Source organism: Homo sapiens, chromosome 5 (genome assembly GCF_000001405.40).
Source record: "Homo sapiens chromosome 5, GRCh38.p14 Primary Assembly".
Classification (NCBI taxonomy): domain Eukaryota; kingdom Metazoa; phylum Chordata; class Mammalia; order Primates; family Hominidae; genus Homo; species Homo sapiens.
This window is the reverse complement of record NC_000005.10, coordinates 96,389,692-96,411,586: the sequence shown is the minus strand read 5'-3', so window position 1 is coordinate 96,411,586 and position 21,895 is coordinate 96,389,692. Positions and strand designations below refer to the sequence as shown.

Here is a 21,895-nt window from a genome sequence, read left to right as displayed (position 1 = left end):
TACCTGTGCCTTGGTTGGATTGCTCTGTCACTTGGGTTTACTGTATTCTTGCACAGATTCTAAAGCCTTGTGCTCCATAAGATGAAACAAAAGTAGAAACTCTGGAGAGCACAAATTGAAAAATCATAGAAAGGGCGGCTTTGACGAGTTCCATTCAATTGAAGAGTCCCTTTTAATGCAGCTGCAAGGCAGATCTGAATAATTCCTAATTTTGTCATTCTATCAGTCAGCCAGAAGATTGAAGCAGAAAGAAAGAGAGGAAGTTCAAAGATTTAAGTGCAGTGACATAAACTAAGAGAAGGGTGGAAAAATATGAGCAAGTGCAAAACGCTAGATTATGAATCTGCATAAGAAAGAAAAGCGTGTGCTCAGCCCTACCCCAGGAGGGCCCAGAGACTGGCAGGGCCAGAGTCCAGTGGCTTATAATACACAGCCTTGTGAGATTTCCAATATCGAAGCCAAAAGATCTGGAATTGAAAATAGATCCCAAATAGCTGTCTCTGAGAATTTCACACATGTAGTCGTTGGGGATTTTATTGGGATATAACAATGACCCCAATAGATGATAACAGATAATATGCATTCTGGCTTTTCCTTTAGGGGAGACAGGGGAAGGGGTCCATCTTCGTCTGGGCTTCGGGAAACGGGGGGCGTCAGGGAGATAATTGTGACTGTGATGGCTACACAGACAGCATCTACACCATCTCCATCAGCAGTGCCTCCCAGCAAGGCCTATCCCCCTGGTACGCTGAGAAGTGCTCCTCCACACTGGCCACCTCTTACAGCAGCGGAGATTACACCGACCAGAGAATCGTATGTTGCTTTTGTCTAATTCTCTCTGCTTAGTTAGGAGAGCGTGGCATGCATGTGAAATGATTCCCCTAACTGACCTTTGGTACGACTGATTCGCTTAAGCTTGATGTCTCAGTTGGGAGAACTCACACTTACTCACTTGAAAGGCTGGCATCCATCAGAAAGTTTTCTCTCCAGGGATAATGACACTTCTGCCAAGATGATCTTCCCCTCTGTCATTTTTAAACCCAGCCTTGAGAAGCCACCAAACCTGTCATTACACACAGCGGAGACTCCAAATGTCTTTTCTGCTTGTCTGATGCCTCCCTGGAAACAGCCTTAAAGGAGATCTCAGGGTTGTAGGGGCTTTATCACCCTTGTACTTGCTGATCCTTTAACAGCAGGGATATAGTCTGACCTGCCCTGTCGCAGATGATAAAAATACAGAGTCTACACCAGCTATGTCTCCTAAGAATGGATGACCTGCAGGAAAATAGCAGTTTCAGTGTCCCCTGAGGTGAACTGCTCAGCATCTGGGTAAGCAGCTCGGGGAGGTCGTATGCTCAGAGAGCTCCTCCAGCCCACGCTTGCCTGCGCCTTTGCTTCCATGAGTCAGACGGCCAAGGGCAATTACTGGATTTCCCTTCAAGGGCATGACGATGGAGGGGCATTTAGGGGCTTTGAGAACAAAGGGAGACACCTTTAATTTAAAAAATGTAAGGCCCCCAATTTAACTCCTGACACAGAAAGGACCAACTAGCTAAAGTATATAGATCCTATCTCAGTGAAATAGCAGGTCATGATCTAATTAGAGGGTGGGTGAACCCTATAATAATGACCTTGGAATGCGTGCAAGATTCCTATTAATGGCATCTCAACAAAATTGTCAACACGAACATCTTCTTCATACAGGATCACTTCTGCAAGCTAGTTTAGACAGTAAAGCTGTGGTCTCAACTTAGAAGTGTGGGCCTGCTTCTCACGCGCATCTCTTCAGCTACTCAAGTAATAGACAGTGGCATTCTACCGAGGGGTTTTATGGCAGGCACATTTTAAAGGGTTTGAAAGGGGCATATCAGACATCTGCCCCACTTGTCTTCAGAGCCCCTGGCTGTTGTCATTTCCCTGGGTGTCCAGAGCTGCCTTTAGAAAATGGCCTGTTGGGCATTTCAGAATCACCATTTCACAGACTGTTCCTTATCTTGGGTAACCTGCACTGAAGCAGAAGAAAGATTTTCTATCTTTGTAAAACTCCCTCCTTAAGAAAGCCAGCCTTAGGAGAGACAGCTGGTGGATTCTATTTGAGACAGTCTCAGTAACATAACCTTTTTCTTACGCAAACCTTTTCCTCAGCATAGTCATCTCTGGGGGCTTGCTTGCGTCAACAGGTAAAAAGGGCAACCTTGCTTCCGCAGCCCTCTGAGGAGCAGAGCCATCATAACTTGAGAAATTCAGCAACTCCAAGCAGGAAGCCAATGGAGGTGATAATAGAACAAATTATTTTTTTACACCTCCCTCCCACACATCGAAATCTCGAGCTAGAACTTCGGTGCTGGAGCCTGGGTGGGTGTCTTGTTAGTAATCCCTTGGCCCAACCAGCAGCGCCGTGGTCCTTAAGGCAGACAGGAAGTCTTTTCAGTTTCTTCCCTTCATCTCAGCAATCTCTTCATTACCCTAAAGTTAGCCAGGGTAATTCCTTACTTGCAAGAAAATTATGTAAAACTACTTTCACAGAGAACATCTCGGGTAAGTCTCGCATATGAGTCAGAAAATATAAATCGCATTTTACAGATGGGGAGCCAAATGACTTGCCCGAGGACAAATCTATTAAGTAGCAGTTAGAGAATTTGAACCCAGAACTAAGTCCAGCACACTTTCCATTTTAAAGACCCATCGTTTTCCTCAAAGTGTAAATGTGGACACCAACTCACAGGTATCAAATCTAGTTCAACAGTGAGTGCAAACTACATATTAAGCATTTTTTGTGCAAGTAGTTCAAATGGCTAAGGCCAGGATGTCTTCATATCCTTGGGCTGAAGAGGCAGCCAAATGTCAATCTGAAGGCAAAAGGGAATTTTGTATGAGACAGAATTTCTAAATATGCCAGACCAAACACAATGGACCCGATGATTAATGGGCCAGCATGATTCACAGTGATTTTGAAACTTTGTTTTTTATAGACAGCATTTCGTTTGGGAATCTCAGAAAAGAAAATATTCGTAGTGGGAGTACTTCATCCCCAGAAAAGGCATCTTGCTGCCAGAATTATAGAGAAGTTGCATATAGAGGGTGAACTAAAATATCAGCAGATGGCAAACATCCGCCTGTGGTTTAGAGGAGAAAGTAGGCAATCGAATCAGCTGAGTTTCCTGGTCATAGCAGATGCAGCCTTTGGTACAGTTAACCCCCAAGACAGGCCCACACTCCTCACGTGTTCTCCCTGCCTTTCTCTCCTTCCTGACGTCATCCAGACGAGCGCTGACCTGCACAATGACTGCACGGAGACGCACACAGGCACCTCGGCCTCTGCACCTCTGGCTGCTGGCATCTTCGCTCTGGCCCTGGAAGCAAAGTAAGGCCCAGAAAGCTTCTAATCACCTTTACAAAGGCTGATTCTCCTTATTTTTAATAACACTTTTTTTTCTGAATACATGGTTACAGGAGAAATTTTGGAATACTGCAAATAAAGATAAGCTCTTTCCTGCCACTTCGAGGTCACTAACCATAGTTAACATCTCAATGTAGATTTAATACACACACATCTTACAAAATTGGGATCTTAATATAGACGTTATTTTGTAATCTGTTTTTAAAACCCATTCTACAATATATTAAACATACTTTCTCCTGTCTAAATCAATATGCTTTGACCTTTAAAACTCATGCTATCCCTCAAATCTTCTTCCCACTCAGCTACAACGCCTTTTGTTTATTCTCTTCCAGCAGGATTTTGTTTAAATAGTTTCCAGTGGGCAGTATTAGGAACAAGTTTAAAAAACTCCTTTCTTTGAATATGTAAGCCTAGTCCTGGAGCTGATATAACCACATCAGGGGACATGAGATTTAAAGGCAGGAGTTTTATATTTTCACAGTGTTCCATTGTATAAACACAAATTTCCTTAAAGTCATCTAATCATGCTTAAACACCATTGTCAGTAAATATTAGTTGTCATCTCTGACAATTTCCTCAGGATAAACACTCAGAATTGGAATTTCTGGGTCAAAGGGCAAGCATGTTTTAATGATTTTTATATATATTGACAAGATGCTGCCTTGAATGACTATACCATTTTATATTCCCTCCAGGAATATATGTGTGAAAGTGCCAGTTTCCAAAACCCTTGTCAAAACTACTTTTATTATCTTTTAAAATATTTGCTATGTTGATAGGTGAAAATGGTATCTCATTTTAATATGCTTGTATTTAATTACTAATGAAGCTCAATATTTCATACCCTTCAGCTCTTTGTCTTCTGGGGTTGCTTCTTTATGGCCTTAGTTTTGTTTTATGGCCTTGGTTCACAAAAGCTAGATGCTTTATAAGTTTGACATTTACCTTTTAATTTGTTTCTATGTAATTTTTAATGAAATGTAGTTAATATGTATGTAGTTATGTTTGTCAGTCTGTTTCTTTAAGGCTTCTTCCTTTGCTTTTATGCTCAGAAAAAATCTTCACAACCCCAAATTAGATAAACATTAATTATATGTCTTTTATTATGGTTTCTTTACCATATTTAAATTCTAAATCCCTCTGGAATTTATTTTAGTGTATGATGTTAAAAAAAGATTTAACTTTTTTTTTCTCATAATTACCCAATAGTCCAATACTTAACACAGAGGAAAAAAATTGAACTGTCTCACACTGCACATCACAGCTTTTTATGTGTCCTCATTCCTGCTTTCTGATGTGTGGTGACAGTGAATCTTGAAATGTCAAGTCAGGTGCTATGGTTGCATATTAGAAGAAGTGATTAAACTTGTAAATTACTATTATCCTTCCTAATAAGGAGATTATCCTAGAATAAATTACATATTCTCTAGAGAGAGAACAAAGCAGTGTCCTTATGTCATATTCAGTAGACTCAGTTCGTAATAACAGAAAGGAAAAATATCTTGGCCTTTGCCATGACTGGAAAAGCCCTGAGGTTCCTGAGCCTTTGTCCAGGAGAGTCCAGTTTATCTCTAGGATCCCTGGGGCTTCCTATGGAGATGGGGTATATTCCTGGGTATCTCGGCTGTGAGATGGCTACAGTGGCTAAGCAAGGAAGTCTAGCAAGGCTCTTACCAAGAGTCCACCTACTTGGAGGGGCTGGCAAGATGTTTGGTAAGGGAAGAAGTAAATTCAGGTGCTCAATTAGAAATAGATATTGGGCCCTCCAGAAAAGCTATGTTCAGAATCTAAGTTCACTTATAATAGGAAGTAGATGGACAAAAGACAAAAATCTATGAACACAAGCTGAGACTGGCATCAGCAGATCCAAATTAACCGAGAAATAATTGTCCAAGCAGTGAAAATTGCAAGGAACACCTGGCTTCAAGTTCTAGCTCTACCACTAGCTATGTGGCCTTCGGCAAGTTAATTTACTTGTGGGGTTCAGTCTTTCCATCTATAAAATGAAGGGGTCAAACGAGACCTTTTTTTACAAACTTCTTCTCTTCCTAAGATTCTCAGAGTTGAGATTGAAAATGTCAGCCTGCATAGGTAATCCAACATGAATTGTTGGGGTCAGTGATGAGGGGTCTGGACTGGAAGAAAATAGGGTCCTATGGATTATAGGATCCTGTGCAACAGACTTATTATATTTAAGATTTCAAAACACAGACTACTACCCCAGGGAGCTGTTAAAAGAAAGCAATCTTAAAATTTTATGTCTAGAGCCTTTCTTCTCTATCCAACACCTGTCAGATGCATGTAAATATAACTAGCCGTGCCTAGCCCATCCTTGTATAGTGACCAATATAGTAGAAATATCCATCTGCTGAACAGAAGTAATGCCAATTTTATGTAAGAGCTGAAATTGTAAAAGTGCAATCCTTGGTTTCTAAAACCTCAAGGCTTCTTTTTCTGTATAGTGGAAAATGATCCTATACAGAAAATAATCCTTTCCTTTTCTTTTTCTTTTGGAGACAGTGTCTCACTCCGTCACCCAGGCTGGAGTGCAGTGGCAAGATCTCGGCTCACTGCAACCTCAACCCCTCCGGTTCAAGAAATTCTTATGCCTCAGCCTCCTGAGTAGCTGGGATTACAGGCATGTGCCACCATGCCTGGCTAATTTGATCCTTCTTTTTTCTATGTAGGAGAAAATGATCTAGGAATGATCTAGCCTCATTAATCTCAGTCTCTGATGGACAGTCTCTAAAGCAGGTGTTTCATTTCTGTGAAACACTCAGATGGGTTCCAAGGGGTCCATGAATCTCTTTGCAACTAAATGCAGAATTGCTTATAAATGTATGTATGGCATATTTCTGGGGAATGGCTTATAGGTTTCACCAGATTCTCAGTGTTCGTGATTTAAGAGATATTAAGAGTCTATGATCTCCCAGGTGCTTATCATAAGAATTTAATTCCCTTCATTTTGACTCAATTCATCAGTAAGATAAGTATGACTGATCTATCTTAACATTTATATCCTTACTGCCAAGGTACATAGAGGTTATTAAGATTTCTGTTCTCAATTGAACATTTTTCTGAACTCTATTCAATTGTCTATACCAAAGCTGAATGCCAGAATTTCTAGACATGTGACCAAGCTTTATCCCAAGGCACTCAAGAATGAGAAAATCATTTAATCATGTGCCATCCCACAGGAACAACTATGGAGACTGAAGAGCCCTTGCCTAAACTTATCAAGAATAATGGCACCCAATATTGATTAGGTTCTTACTGTAGACCAGACACAGCTGGCCTCTTTATATACAATATTAATTATAACGCTTACAACATTCTTATGACATAGAAATTATTAATTTCACCTATAAATGGGAAAAAATAAGGCTTAGAGAGGTTGAGATATATAACCAAGATCCCACAAAGAAATTCAAACTCAAGTCTCTCTGACTGCAAAGTCTGTGCTATCAGCAACCACACCTTGCAGCCTCCCACAGCCCTGTGAGGGAGAGGCAATGTTGAATGGCAGCCTATCATCTCCTCAAATAAAGGAGGGTTCGGAAGATTGAGGCTGATAAATGAACATGCATTTATGAGTTTCTTATAAGTTTTCTGTCACAAGCAGACTACTCAATATGCTGTGTTAAATGTTATATAGCCAGAGTATTGGGGAATGGGAGGAGAAAAGGAAAGGAGAAGGAATGGTTTCTGGCTGAATATGCACAAAGAAATACTTTCCTTCCCCAAAGCGATGTTTCTCAAGTACCAGCATATATAGTCATCACCTGGGGAGTTTATTTAACATGCAGGTTCCCAGGTCATTTTGCCAGCAACTATTCAGACCTTGTATCTGCCTAGGAGTTTCTGGTATTCAACCTAGGAATTCCTTTTTTAACAAATCTCCCAGGCACTTTTTAATGCTAGTAATACCTTAACCAAGTTTTGAGAAACAAATGCTATAAAGAGTTACTTTTACCACTGTGTTTTCCTACAACCTCATCCACCTGTGTTTGTGTAGAAACCCATTAGGGTAGTTAGTAGGTGTATCTTGGAGATAAATATACTAAGAGAAGAAGGAATTCCTTGCATAAATGTTTGTGGCACTATTATTATTATGTAGTGAGTATACCTAAGAAAGCTGTAGAAAATAGCCTCAGCCTTCTGAGGAGAGATCAAAAGAATCAGAATAATTTTTAATAGGTGAGGAAAATTCTGAAGTGAACCATTGAATCCCTTCACACCTTTGGAAATATTAAACAAACAGATAAGCCAAACTTCTGGTCTTATTAAAACCTGGAGAAAGAGAAATGGACTTTCAATGCTGCATGAAACCTTTGGAAAAAAATCACAACAAAAAAGTCTTGACTTAGTGGGTTGTGAAATGTTAGAAAGTCCAAGTTAGAAAAATTTTAAGATCTAGGCTAATTTAGGTATGATTAGAGGCTGAACCAGATAGCTCCTAAGACTTTTCACTCTGGAATTTTGTCTCCAAATTACATTACCTACATCTCTTCTAATTAGAAGCAATGCTTAATTCGGTGTTTAATTCCATACCCTTATTTTCTGTAAACATATCTTTGATTAGCCACTCAATGCAGTGTTTAAAAATTTAATTATCGTGGATGTCATTGAGCACAAATTAACAAAGGAAGGCTGTCAGGAATGAGTTGCACTGTTGTTAGCAGCTCCTTTTCATTTATGAAATACAAGCACACGAATGAACAATAACTCTGTTAGAAAAATACACCGGGGCCTGTCATGGGGTGGGGTGAGTGGAGAGGGATAGCATTAGGAGATATACCTAATGTAAATGACGAGTTAACGGGTGCAGCACACCAACATGGCACATGTGTACATATGTAACAAAACTGCACGTTGTGCACATGTACCCTAGAACTTAAAGTATAATAATAATAAAAAAAGAAAAATAGGTTTTTCTAATTGCATGACAATGAAGCTCCTTAATATTTTGCAGAGACTAGATAAAGGAAATTTTTAAAACAAAATAACCTGCAACTGCATATAAAATAAATGCTCTACTACAGAAACATAGGACACACATGCTATATGTGATAATCATGATTATCAGCACCTTGCCTTAAGCCTCCTCAGTACGCTTCCTCCTTCCTGCCTCCACACATGCACCTGCACATACTGATGATCCAAACGGAAAACTGGTGTGTTGCCCATTGACTGCCTTGATAAGAGGCTTTTACCTAAAACTCCTTTTAAAAGACTGGAAGGAAGCAAGCATTTCAATAAAATGTCCTATTCTATTTACAAGTGTACCAGGTGATCATGAGGCAAGCATTCTGGGACTCACTGAGGATCCCTAAACTGGTGTCCTTCCAAGGCCTCTCTGTCAGTCACTCTCCAGGGTAAAGTGGTATGTTTGTCGGGAGCTCAGCTCAGGTGAGCTGAGCTGTCAGGTGTGGAGTAGCCTATTAATTCAACAAGCCAAAAATGAAAGCATTGAGCCTTTAGTCACTTACTGCTATGACATAAGCAAGAGTCTGAAACCGGAGAAAACACTTACTCGCCCTGTTCCTGGCATACTGGTTGAGTGGCTCAGCACAGACTTGAGGGTCATCTCACTGCTGAGGGAGCCCCGAACAAAAGGCTCTGGCAATTTTATGGACTCTGAGGTGTGAGGCGGGGAGGGACCAAGAGAGTACGGGAGTGGAGAAGCACCAGGCACTGAGTCTGAGTGAGGAAAGTGTCTAGATGTTTCCCCTCCTCTCTCCACGAGGAGGCCTGACCAAGGGACCTAGGAAGGAAAGCTCTCACCAGCTAGGAATGTCAATATGGAAAGAACATGAGGGGCCAGGGGGCCTGCGGCCTTCATGGAAACTCCTCTCAGAGGCTGCGAGCCACAAACTGCACACTGTGTCTGCATGGGGAGGGCAGCTTCCCCGTGTGTCGTGCCAGGTAAGACCTTTGAAATCGCCTATGGTCAGGCCTGAAAAATCACACACGGTTTTTAACTAGGAGCCGGACTCTTCAGTGTTTAGGAATGTCCACTGCCTCTTTCTTGTCACAGGGGATTACTGAGCCAGTACATGATGGGCTCTGGGGAGAAGGCAGCAAAGTGAGCCAGACTCCCCTGATGATTGTTCTCCAACCGAGTGCTGAGACAGGAACCTTGAGGAGTAAAAACTGGGCATCTACTTATTACATAATGCTTGATTGGCTTCAGGGAACAATACAGGTCTCAAAGTCGAGGAAAAGTTTGAGAATCTGACTGATGACTAGGAGCAATATGTTTTAAAATTATATTTGGGGCTAGTTAGCACTTAGGCATGTTCAGTCTCTGAACCAACCATATCTGCTGAGCATATATACCCTGTGCCCAGCATTCTTCTGGGTGCTACACATCAGAGAACAAGATGGATAAAGATCTCACCACTTCTCATGGTTAAATTAGAACCAGGGAGAGAGACATCAACAAAACACAATACAAATGAGTTTCCCGCATGTTAGAAGCCTATAAGTGCAATGGAAGGAGAATATGCACATATAGCAGAATAAAAGAGCTCGGGACCATGTGGGAGAGTGGAAATTTTAAATAGGCTGATCAAGGAAGGCCTCATCATAGTATAATAGATCCAACAATCCCTTATATCTCTGATTTATCTTTATAGTGTTGCTAAATTAATCTTACTAAGACTTATGATTTTACTATTTCCTTACTCAAAAATTCTCACTGATTCCCACTGCCCAAAAGATAAAGTATAAGCTCCCTTTCTGGCATGCCAGGTTCTCATCGCTCTGGCCCAATACTCCTCACTGCCTCTCCCCTGCCCCAGCAAACCAGGCTGTCATCTGGCCACACCTGTACTGTCCCACTTTGGTGCTTTTGCTCCAGTGGCCTTCTTCTCTATCTCCACTTCTTAACACTCTACCCCCTGTCAAAGTCCAGCTCAAATATTTCTCCCCCACAAAGTTTTCCTAGATCTTTCTATTCCATGGAAATTCTTTCTACTCTAAACTCCCACAATGCGTTAAGCTATGAATATAGCACTCACCAGATAGAATTATAAAAGCCTTAATTCTTTTTACTGGATTGTAAACTTCTTTTTTTTTTTTTTTTTTTTTTTTTTGAGACGGAGTCCCGCTCTTTAGCCCAGGCCGGATTGCAGTGGCACAATCTTGGCTCACTGCAAGCTCCGCCTCCCAGGTTCACGCCATTCTCCTGCCTCAGCCTCCCGAGTAGCTGGGACTACAGGCGCCCGCCACCGCGCCCGGCTAATTTTTTGTATTTTTAGTAGAGACGGGGTTTCACCGTGTTAGCCAAGATGGTCTCGATCTCCTGACCTTGTGATCCGCCCGCCTCGGCCTCCCAAAGTGCTGGGATTACAGGCGTGAGCCACCGCGCCCAGCCTGGATTGTAAACTTCTAAAAGACAAGAACCACATCCTTGAATATCCCCATGGTATTAGCATAGTGCCTTGCAAGAGTGAGCTCAAATAGCTAAGAGTTTCTTGACGCTTTTGATAGATAAAGAAAAAGGCAATACATGTTTACAGCAGGTAGCCAGTCTGTGTCTTTAACATCTCACTCTTCCTAAGAAGGAAGTCAAGGCCTCGTCTGTGGGTTCATAATGCTGAAAGTGCTAAGGCTTTTAATGGACAGCATGAGACTGGAGGGCATAAAGAAAGTGTTACCATTTAAAATGTTTGCTCAGTTAAATGGAAGCAATTAGAAATTAAGGACAAAGTTTTATACTTCTATATTGCTGAGGACTGAATTTTACTCATAGTAAAAGCTTATATGCTCTGGAGAGAAGTCATAACTTATATGTTACAGGGAGAAGTTTTCAGCTCTGTATTCTGAATTCTGAATGAAAAGATATATGAACAGTAATAGACACTAGAATAACATAACTACAATAGCAAAAGGCACTTCATAATCCCTGAATGGAGATGCTTATTGTTAGCACTTGCTTTTGCAAGGAAACTTCATTTTTCTCTGAAAGACACTTTGGGTCACTTCCCCTCCAGCCCAAATCTCACCTGGCGAGATATGCAGCACCTGGTTGTCTGGACCTCTGAGTATGACCCGCTGGCCAATAACCCTGGATGGAAAAAGAATGGAGCAGGCTTGATGGTGAATAGTCGATTTGGATTTGGCTTGCTAAATGCCAAAGCTCTGGTGGATTTAGCTGACCCCAGGACCTGGAGGAGCGTGCCTGAGAAGAAAGAGTGTGTTGTAAAGGACAATGACTTTGAGCCCAGGTAAGTATCTCCTGGAATTTTAAACACATGTGTGCCCATGGCATAATTTCATTACTATGTTTGCCATTCTGCCTGATTTTTTTGTATCTACCCTTCTGAAGTAGATGGAGGTGGAATTTTCTAGTGTTCTCTGTGGGTATCCATGGGGACTAACTAAGAGACCAAAGCTCTAGAAACCATGTTAACCATTTGCATGTTCCTCTTGTAGTCCACCTACCACATAGCACCCAGTCTAAGATGCACCATTGTTTTATTGTCAATTAAACTGTGATCAACCACCCATCAGTTTTAAGATTCATTCTAAATTCAATGTTTAACTATTTTTTTAAAATGCATCTTAGGGTTGATGAAATGCAGTACTTGCCAACCAGTTTTACCCAAAATCTGCTTGCAAAATAGCCTTGCTTCATGCCACAGTGCTGTGTGATTCATGGCTTTTCTTCCATGAGGGATTCTTTATCATACACTTACTTAGACTCCCTCTAGCACACCACATCTTGTCACAGAAGAAATTTCTACTAGGAGTGTTTTGTAATTTCTATCAAAGCAATCAAAATAATACTGAAGACCTGCTCACACAAAATATCCAAGGATGGGAGGCTTGGGGCATGCCTTCAGAAGGCCTTCTAGATAAAATCATTTTTTTCTTAAGAGGGGCTTTTTGATGGGTCTACAATAAATCTGCCTGAATTTGACTCCACAGCAAATAGCATTGTATTTAAGTATTAGTGCCCCTTACCATTTTCTTATGCATTAAAATTCATGTATACATAATTCTGAATTAGGTTCTACACATCACAGGGAGTGACAAAAAGCTTAGTTGAGCATCTAGTCAAGATTGATGCATGCAGATATGCATAAAATGCAAGGAAGTTTGGATATACTTTATTCAATGCTGATTCTTTAATGTATTTAGAGCCCTGAAAGCTAATGGAGAAGTTATCATTGAAATTCCAACAAGAGCTTGTGAAGGACAAGAAAATGCTATCAAGTCCCTGGAGCATGTACAATTTGAAGCAACAATTGAATATTCCCGAAGAGGAGACCTTCATGTCACACTTACTTCTGCTGCTGGTAAATTAAAAAAGTTCTAAGCCATTTATATTTTTAAGTGTAAGTTGAATGATTCAAATAACTGATTGCTTTTGTTTATTCATAGAACAAAGTCTCCTAATAGATATTTTCAGGTCTTAAAAAACATGCTTATTTTTTCCTTTTTCTTGGTGTTAGATCTCCCTCTGCCCTGCCCATTTCCACTGATCCTTTGATAAGCAGAGAATGAGGCCCATTCAAATAATGCTAATTAATACACTTTTCTGAAGTCATGCATTTTCAAACTGTTTACTTTTCCATTTTACTGACCTATCACTTTTCTCTTAGATAGCAAATTAGTGAAAGTTACTCTGATAATTAACCAAACTCACAGATATATCCGAAACATACAAGGAGTCCATTGAAAACTGGGAATTCAGATCGATTAGAGGAGATTGAGAAGATTAACAAATTTATCATAGTAACATGAATAAGGCCATTTTATATGATGTATGAACATTTGCTTTTTCCTGCGAGGGCACTAATTCAGATAAGATAGTGGATGGGAAAGAGCTCGTGAACCATAAGCCATAATCTAACCAGGAGGAGCAGTCCCAATACTCCTTTATGTTTTAGCAGGACTCAACTGACTAAATTTGGTTTCTGTGGGTGATATGTGAGGAAAGATGAGCTATCTCTATGATCTTCCTCCTGAATATTAATTCTTAGAGGTTTGGAATAGGCTCTGTTAATTTTGAAGTTATGCTTTCTAGATGTATTGGAATTAACCTGAAATATTGGTGGAATGCTTTTTTAATTGATAGACCTGCAGTTATTTAACCCTTCCACATAGAACTATTATCAATTGATCTAGAAAGGGCTGGGACTTAAAAATTTACAGGTAACCTGTCTTTTAATATAAGAGATTGTTAAATTAATATATCTTTAAGAAATTAATACATTAATTAAATAATTATGATTATTAATGATTGCATAATAAATTAAATAATAATTTTTATGTTTAAATCATTATGGAGTCAGGCACCTACTAAATTTTCAAGATTTCCTCTCACACTTCAGAAATGATAGTTTCATTAAAATATTTTTAGATTTTTGACTCTCTAATTCAATTTGTAAATGTAGTTCGCCGAGTTTTCCTTATTTAAATAAACCTTAGTCAACATTTTCATTCATTCATTCATTATTTTTTCCACAATATTTATTGAGGCAAATAATATTATTCATTATTATATATGCCAGGCAATGTGCTAAGCACTATAGATAAAAACATCATATTTTTTCCTTGTGAGTGTCTCTATCCTGGTCTTATACTAAAAGAGAAAATTAGGAGAACTCATCTTTTTCAGCTTTTATTTTCAGTTATCAGATGCTAGAGTGTATCCTACTATCAGAGCTATTAGGACATTCATTAACTTGTATTTGTTTCATAGGAACTAGCACTGTGCTCTTGGCTGAAAGAGAACGGGATACATCTCCTAATGGCTTTAAGAATTGGGACTTCATGTCTGTTCACACATGGGGAGAGAACCCTATAGGTACTTGGACTTTGAGAATTACAGACATGGTAAGTGTGAATGAGAGGATGAAAAAACACAAGCTTACTTTTAAACATTTTGAAGCACTTTTAAGGTTGATTTCATCATTAATTAGGGCCCTAAAGAATTGTACCCCTTCTTAGTAGAAGTAAGGGAAAAGTAGAGTGTTTCAAGCCCTGACCACTTGGTTACGTAGATAATATTCAAAAAGAAAGATTAGGCTTCAGCCATACTATAAGAGGGGGAAAAACACTTATATAAACAATGTGACAGACTGTGGGACAAATCCAGGTGTTCCCATGTCTGCATGCAGCCAGCCATCTAACCTATTCAGCCAACAAAATCAATCATATTCACAAAGATACTTAAATGCTCAGACCAACTTTGGTGTGACATTCTGCCAGAGTCACATCTTAAAGGCATGCTTATGATTATTCTGCAATAGCTATTTAGATGTAGCTTAATGTTTGGAGAGATATCTTATTTAATATGACTTTTTTAAACAGTTTTAGTCATGAAACAAACCGAAAGCATTTCTCATTTCTTTTTCATTCTGTTTACTAACATTCTTTGACATCCTTCTGTAATTTTAACACACAGTCACAAAAATGCAAGTACAGAGCAAAAGTTAGAAAAAAGCCAAATATAGCTTAATTATTTATTTTTGCATCATTTCTCCAACATTCTCTGTAGGTGAGAATATAAATGAATAATGTTTTGGCTCTGAGTTCTTCTGTGACAAAAGTGTAATAAATATCAGCAGTGTAGAATTATACGCCTAAATAACTTTTTTTTTTTTTTTTGAGACGGAGTCTTGCTCTGTCACCCAGGCTGGAGTTGCAGTGGCACAGTCTCGGCTCACTGCAACCTCTGCCTCCTGGGTTCAAGCGCTTCTCCTGCCTCAGCCTCCCGACTAGCTGGAATTACAGGTACCCACCACCAAGCCTGGCTAATTTTTGTATTTTTAGTAGAAATGGGGTTTCACCATGTTGGTCAGGCTGGTCTCGAGCTCCTTACCTCAGGTGATTTACCCACCTCGGCCTCCCAAAGTGGTGGGATTACAGGTGTAAGCCACCACACCCGGCCTAGATAACTTTTTGAAAATAAATCATTTAAAGTTCTTGGAGATGTCAATTAAATTAATACAAATTCTATAGTCGTTTGTTACATTTTTTTCTCTGAGGATAGCTTTCTCCTAAAGACTGCTAAAATTGTGATTTAGAAATGGAAGTTGTAAAATGTCCTTCTCTCATAGAGCAAAAAAAGAATGTTCTTAGCATCTGGGCCTGTTCTTGAATTTGGCCTCTATTCTTCAACTCAATTTCACCATCAGGAAACTAAGAAAATCTATTTACCAAGGTGGGATTTATTTCATGTCAAGTCTGCAAAATCTGACCTTACACTTCTAAATTTTTAAAGATATTTTAGATTTTAACACATTATTTATAATTGTTGAGCCTTGAAAATTATGACTATTCCCCCAAATATGCAACTTTTTGTAACTGAATTTATAGACCTCTTATTTATTTATTTTTTGTCATTGAACTTTATAGACCTCTTTTATTTAGTTTTTTATTATACTTTAAGTTCTGGAGTACATGTACAGAGTGTGCAGGTTTGTTACATAGGTATACACATGCCATGGTGGTTTGCTGCACCCATCAACCCATCATCTACATTAGATATTTCTCCTAATGCTATCCCTCCCCTTGCCCCCTACTCCCTGACAGGCCCATTGTGTGATGTTCCCCTCCCTGTGCCCATATGTTCCCACTGTTCAACTCCCACTTATGAGTGAGAACATTCAGTGTTTGGTTTTCTGTTCCTGTGTTGGTTTGCTGAGAATGATGGTTTCCAGCTTTATCCATGTCCCTGCAGAGGACATGAACTCACTCTTTTTTATGGCTGCATAGTATTCCACAGTGCATATGTGCCACACAATTTTTAAGGGCTTATTAATGCTAGAGGTTGTTTATAATACTCCATAGAGGCTGACTTTTTTCCCAGTGGAATGTTTCTATAAGTTGATAATTGGGAAATATATTTATAGAAGGTACAGTCAGCTTTCCAAGAACACATCCAATATGGAAAAGAAGACTTACATAGAGATTTCTGATTTTTAAATTAAATGTTTGATTATGAAGCAATCAGTTTCTAAACTGTTGAACCTACAAATTGTCAATTTTTATAGCAAGAGTGGATCCAATGGTTTCTTTCACATGAAATGCACAGAATCTTAAAATGAGATTTTAACAATGAAATCCTTTTTAGCTATTTTGAATGAGTTTGTTTTATATTATCTAAAACACATACTAAATGTAGGTATGCTTATTTGTTAGTCTGGAAGAATTCAAAATGAAGGAAGAATTGTGAACTGGAAGCTGATTTTGCACGGGACCTCTTCTCAGCCAGAGCATATGAAGCAGCCTCGTGTGTACACGTCCTACAACACTGTTCAGAATGACAGAAGAGGGGTGGAGAAGATGGTGGATCCAGGGGAGGTCTGTGTGGCTCTGTTCTTGGCATGCTCTCTTTTGAACTGGGGTAGACAATGTAGTCAGTGAAGCTGTACCCAACTTCCAAGCAGGAAATAAGTCAAACATGGATGGGGAGGATAAGAAGTGATAGTGGTAAACTATTCTTTTCCATAGGATAAAACTGTATTTTTTTCATTCAATATTTTATCCAGAACTTAGAAATCACAATTAATGAATTCAAAAGTATTAAATTTCCTAACATGAATTTTCTCCACTTATGACAGATAACAAATGGAAAAAAAAGTTATCTTTATGCCCAATCACATATATCTAACATTTGTACTGTACTTTGTTTTTAAGCATTTTCCACATTGTCTCATTAACCTATAATCCCTATAACCTAGGAAGGATAGACATTCGTGTATCCATTTTGCAGAAAGAAAAACAAGGCTCAAATGGCCAAATCATGTAGGCTTCTTTTTATTAATTCATTAACTGACACTTCTTGGCAACACCAAGGGGAGCGATAGATCACACTTTTTCTCAAAAAATTTCAGAGGATAGCTAAAATAAGTCGTTCACATTCCTGGGTTTCAGCCTGCTATGGCTCCTGGCTTCCTTCTATCAGATGGTGAGAAAAGCCCACATTTTCTTTATCTCTGTATCCCAGCATCTAGCACAGTGCCTCAGGTGTAATAGGTAGGTTTTCAGAATTTTCAGAACGCCCTGCTCTGAATAGGTCCAGCTCTGAGCTGGGTGTTTTGGAAGATACAGAGGCAAAGTACATATTCAAGAAACTTACACATGAACTGTGAAGGCCTCAGCTTGAATTCTAGTTCCATTTATATTCTTCAAAGCAGCTTCCCTCCAGGACCTGAGTCCTGAGTACTTTTCTTCACAGTCTGGGAAGCAGGTTAACCTTGTCAGTGTTGGAATATTGAAACACTTCCACAGCAGTTGGCCAAGGTTGGCTTCTCTGAGCTCTCCAGCTCCCTCCTCCCCAGCCTAGCACCTCAGTCTCTCCCCTGACCACTTCTTACAGCTCAGTGGCTAAAAGGGTAGTTCTGAAAGCCAGTGCCTCCAGGAAGGCACACCCATGCTACCGCAACCAGTGGGTGCCTTCTATATGACTTGTTAGATATTTTGATATCCTCTGCTTCCCAAAATGGATTCCATGACAGCAGGCTGACAAGTAAAGAAAACCACCATGTACTGAGTACTTACCTATACAGTCTCATCTAGTCTTCAAAACCACCACAAATGGAGGTACTCTTATTCCACCTGACAGGTGAAGTTGAGGGAGATTAAAAAGGTTGTTAAAGGTACCCCAGAGGGTAGGCAAATGAGGGTTGAAGCCCAAGTCCATGTGGCTCCCAGTCTTGAACTCTCTCCCCTCCCCTCATTGCCTCTCAAGCGGCAGGCAGCGTTCCTGTGGTAGGGTTGCAACTAGCTTGCCTGGCCATAAATAATGAACCTTCTTCCCTTTGTGGATGGCATTCTATGTTTTAGGAGCAGCCCACACAAGAGAACCCTAAGGAGAACACCCTGGTGTCCAAAAGCCCCAGCAGCAGCAGCGTAGGGGGCCGGAGGGATGAGTTGGAGGAGGGAGCCCCTTCCCAGGCCATGCTGCGACTCCTGCAAAGTGCTTTCAGTAAAAACTCACCGCCAAAGCAATCACCAAAGAAGTCCCCAAGTGCAAAGCTCAACATCCCTTATGAAAACTTCTACGAAGCCCTGGAAAAGCTGAACAAACCTTCCCAGCTTAAAGACTCTGAAGACAGTCTGTATAATGACTATGTTGATGTTTTTTATAACACTAAACCTTACAAGCACAGAGACGACCGGCTGCTTCAAGCTCTGGTGGACATTCTGAATGAGGAAAATTAAAATAAGTGTGTGGTCCCAAGTTGGAAATATTCATGCTTCTTCCTTACCCTGCGATTTTGCCTGTGTCTGAAGTGGTTGTTTTGTCATGAATTCTTATGCTTATAATATCCTTTGTGGCACCTTTTCTTTTTCTCCCTAAACTGTACATGTGAAGGGGATGAGCTCAAGCAGGAAGTTCAACTTCCAGAATTGATCATAGGTATTTCAAAACACATCTTTCCTGTCTGCACAAGTGAAGTGTTTTGTTCTTTCTGGAGTCACAGTTGACAAAAAGCTCTTACACTACATTAGAACACTGCATTAGAGCCCATTTCAATTCTCAAAAGAAAAGGCAAAACCTGGGATATCAATTAATTTGAAAACATAATCTGCAAAGAATGAGAAGGAGTCAGAAACTGTTTCTGTAGCTTGTTCCCTGTCTTGTCCATGTGGTTCTTCAAATTTTGATGCCAAGAAAGTATTTGGTAGGCCTAATGAAGGAGTTCACTGTAAGACTCATTCCCTAGATCTTTCTATTCCAAAGTGCCACTCATTCCTGTAGTCAAAATCTGGTCATGTTGGTCAAAAGCTGGATTATTTAGATCTAGAAACAGATCTTGAAATCTGAATGCTCTGGTTTGAGCAATTTTCGAACATTCTTTGCCTGGTGCACTGTGTCTGTGGTGCCAGAGGCGTCCGTGGATCCAGAGGTGGTTATGACTCGTGCTGCATGCCTGGTCTTTCCTCTGTTTCTCCTTCTGAAAGTTTTCTATACCTGTCTCCTTTCTCAGCCACAAAATAAATGTTGGGAGAAATGATATATACCACTTTCCCAGAAAAAAAAAAACTTACACTTGGGACTTGGCAAATTCCTAGTCACAATTTTTTTCAGCAGTAACAGGAAACCACTTATCACATGGAGACCTAATGTAATAATAGAAAAATACTCATAATAGGGAGAAACCAAGAGAAGTTTTGTTTTTGTTTTTTTCCAACTGTGTTCATTAGAACAGCGTGTTCTAAGTATTTGAAACTGAATGTTTATTCCTTGATACTAAAAGTTCTTCTCCAATCCTATCACTGATAGTGTCCAAATTCTCACCAAATTGCTCCTAAGCTTCAAATCAGAAGCAGAAACTGGCAGGCCATGGACCTTAATTGTCCCTCAGGTAGATTTTGTTTGGTATGCAGAATGTTTTTAAAATATGAGTGGTTATTGAAAATATGATGTTTCACATAAAACCTCATTCTCGGACCCATCTTTGCTCATGGCAACAGTTAGCTGGAGCTGAGTAGCAGCTGCCTGATTAGATGACTCTCAGTCCCCATGGCACCCTGCTCCATGTTACCTAGAGCAGGCACTTGATTCCTTGCTGGGCAGTATCCAATAGGCATTTGATTTTGCCCACTCCTACACTAAGCGAATGTGTACAAAGTGTAAATGCATTAGGAAAAACAAACTACCCGCATCTTCTGTTAGGCAGGATCTGTACAATAATAATTATGAGTTTGCTTATGTAATCTCACCTCACCTGGATGATCACTAATACTAATTCATTTATTACTAACCTTCTGGCTTCCTTCTCTCAATATGCTTACAAAGTCTCCAGTCACCTACAATGCTGGCTTTCTCCCACTGAGTTTGCTGTTTGCAATTTTTCCATGAAGTTTGAACTTCATAAGGTAATTCATGGCATTGAACTGGTTCATGAAAAGAACACTAGAGTCTGTCATTTGCTTTGGCTTGAAGTATGGTTGGTAACACAAATTTTCACCTGCTCTTCTACCATTTGAATTTGTGTAGAGGGTGTTTGCAGAGCAATGCCCGTAATGCTTAGAGAATGTTCTCCTAAAAGACTTGCGGAATCACTCTGTCCTTGGAAGTTTCATATATTGTTTGATATGAAGTGTTAGATAGAATTTCCAATATTGGAGCATATCAAAAAGTATTAAAACTAAAAAGGACCAGAGAATTCTTAGATTGGCCCGGAAAGGCCAATAAAGAGTTAGAATGAAAACTCATTACTTTTCCATTCCCAATCTAGTGCTAGATGTATAAATCTTTCTTTTGATTCTTCCTAACAAAATATTTTCTGGGTTAAAACCCCAGCCAACTCATTGGGTTGTAGCCAAAGGTTCACTCTCAAGAAGCTTTAATATTTAAATAAAATCATATTGAATGTTTCCAACCTGGAGTATAATATTCAGATATAAAACAGTTTTGTCAGTCTTTCTTAGTGCCTGTGTGGATTTTTGTGAAAATGTCAAAGAGAAAACTTATATACTATTTCCCTTGAAATTTTAAACTATATTTTCTTTACAGGTATTTATAATATACCAATGCTTTTATCAAACAGAATTTTAAAGAGCATAATAAATTATATTAAAGAACCAAAAGTTTTCCTGAGAATAAGAAAGTTTCACCCAATAAAATATTTTTGAAAGGCATGTTCCTCTGTCAATGAAAAAAAGTACATGTATGTGTTGTGATATTAAAAGTGACATTTGTCTAATAGCCTAATACAACATGTAGCTGAGTTTAACATGTGTGGTCTTGGTATTCTTAAGGGAACTTCCACATTATACATTTGATGTATTGACCAGAATATGTAAAATATGCTTATAAATCAGAAAAATAAATTGTTTCTCACTAAGTCAAAAGAAAAAAAGCTCATGTTTCCACCACAAACAAGATCTCCCTCTTTTATTGTGTTTCCCAAATGGACTATACAAAAGAAAAGCTGACAGTTTACATTAAGGAGTTAATTCCTTTTTAGGAAATTGGGCTTTCTTGGAGTCAATTTAAGAATCTACCTGAACAAGGTATGTTTTATTTTCCTCTCTAGCCCATCCTTCACTTTCTTGACAACATGCAAAGCTGTATGACTGAGCCTTAACTGAAATGTTGAGAAATGAACAAACTATCTAAACTAAACTAAACAGACTTACTACATGTAAGAGAAATGATTCCCAACATTTCACCAAATAGGACTTAGTTTACAGGCTAGAGTAAAGCAGCTAAGTGTGAAATCCTTCCCAGAGGTTCTCTCATTAGAACCCTCAAAGTTCCAACTTTTTTTTTTTCTTTTGCTAGAGTCTCACTCTTTTGCCCGGACTACAGTGCAATGGCATGATCATGGCTCACTGCAGCCTCCACATCCCAGGCTCAAACGATCTTCCCACCTCAGCCTCCCTTGTAGCTGGGACTACAGGTGTGCACCGCCACACCCAGCTAATTTTTGTGTTTTTTGTAGGGACAGGTTTCGTCATGTTGCCCAGGCTGGTCTCAAACTTTTGGGCTCAGGTGATCCACCTGCCCCAGCCTCCCAA

General features: G+C 39.6%; 2 protein-coding genes and 1 long non-coding RNA gene across 14 annotated transcripts in view; 1 reads left to right on the top strand and 2 right to left on the bottom strand.

The window, feature by feature from the left end:
• Positions 1-21,254, top strand: part of PCSK1 (proprotein convertase subtilisin/kexin type 1) — a 42,916-nt gene extending 21,662 nt beyond the window's left edge. For both annotated transcript variants that reach the window (NM_000439.5, NM_001177875.2), the window contains exons 8-14: positions 601-813; positions 3,264-3,364; positions 11,401-11,634; positions 12,551-12,708; positions 14,118-14,251; positions 16,562-16,723; positions 18,209-21,254. In NM_000439.5, coding sequence (NP_000430.3) covers positions 601-813; positions 3,264-3,364; positions 11,401-11,634; positions 12,551-12,708; positions 14,118-14,251; positions 16,562-16,723; positions 18,209-18,586 — 1,380 coding nt within the window. In that variant the 3' untranslated portion in view covers positions 18,587-21,254. The remainder of the gene's footprint in view (positions 1-600; positions 814-3,263; positions 3,365-11,400; positions 11,635-12,550; positions 12,709-14,117; positions 14,252-16,561; positions 16,724-18,208) is intronic.
• The window catches only part of CAST (calpastatin), an 813,255-nt gene that overhangs the window by 363,097 nt on the left and 428,263 nt on the right, over positions 1-21,895 (bottom strand). The window lies entirely within an intron of this gene.
• The window catches only part of LOC101929710 (uncharacterized), a 669,085-nt gene that overhangs the window by 219,499 nt on the left and 427,691 nt on the right, over positions 1-21,895 (bottom strand). The window lies entirely within an intron of this gene.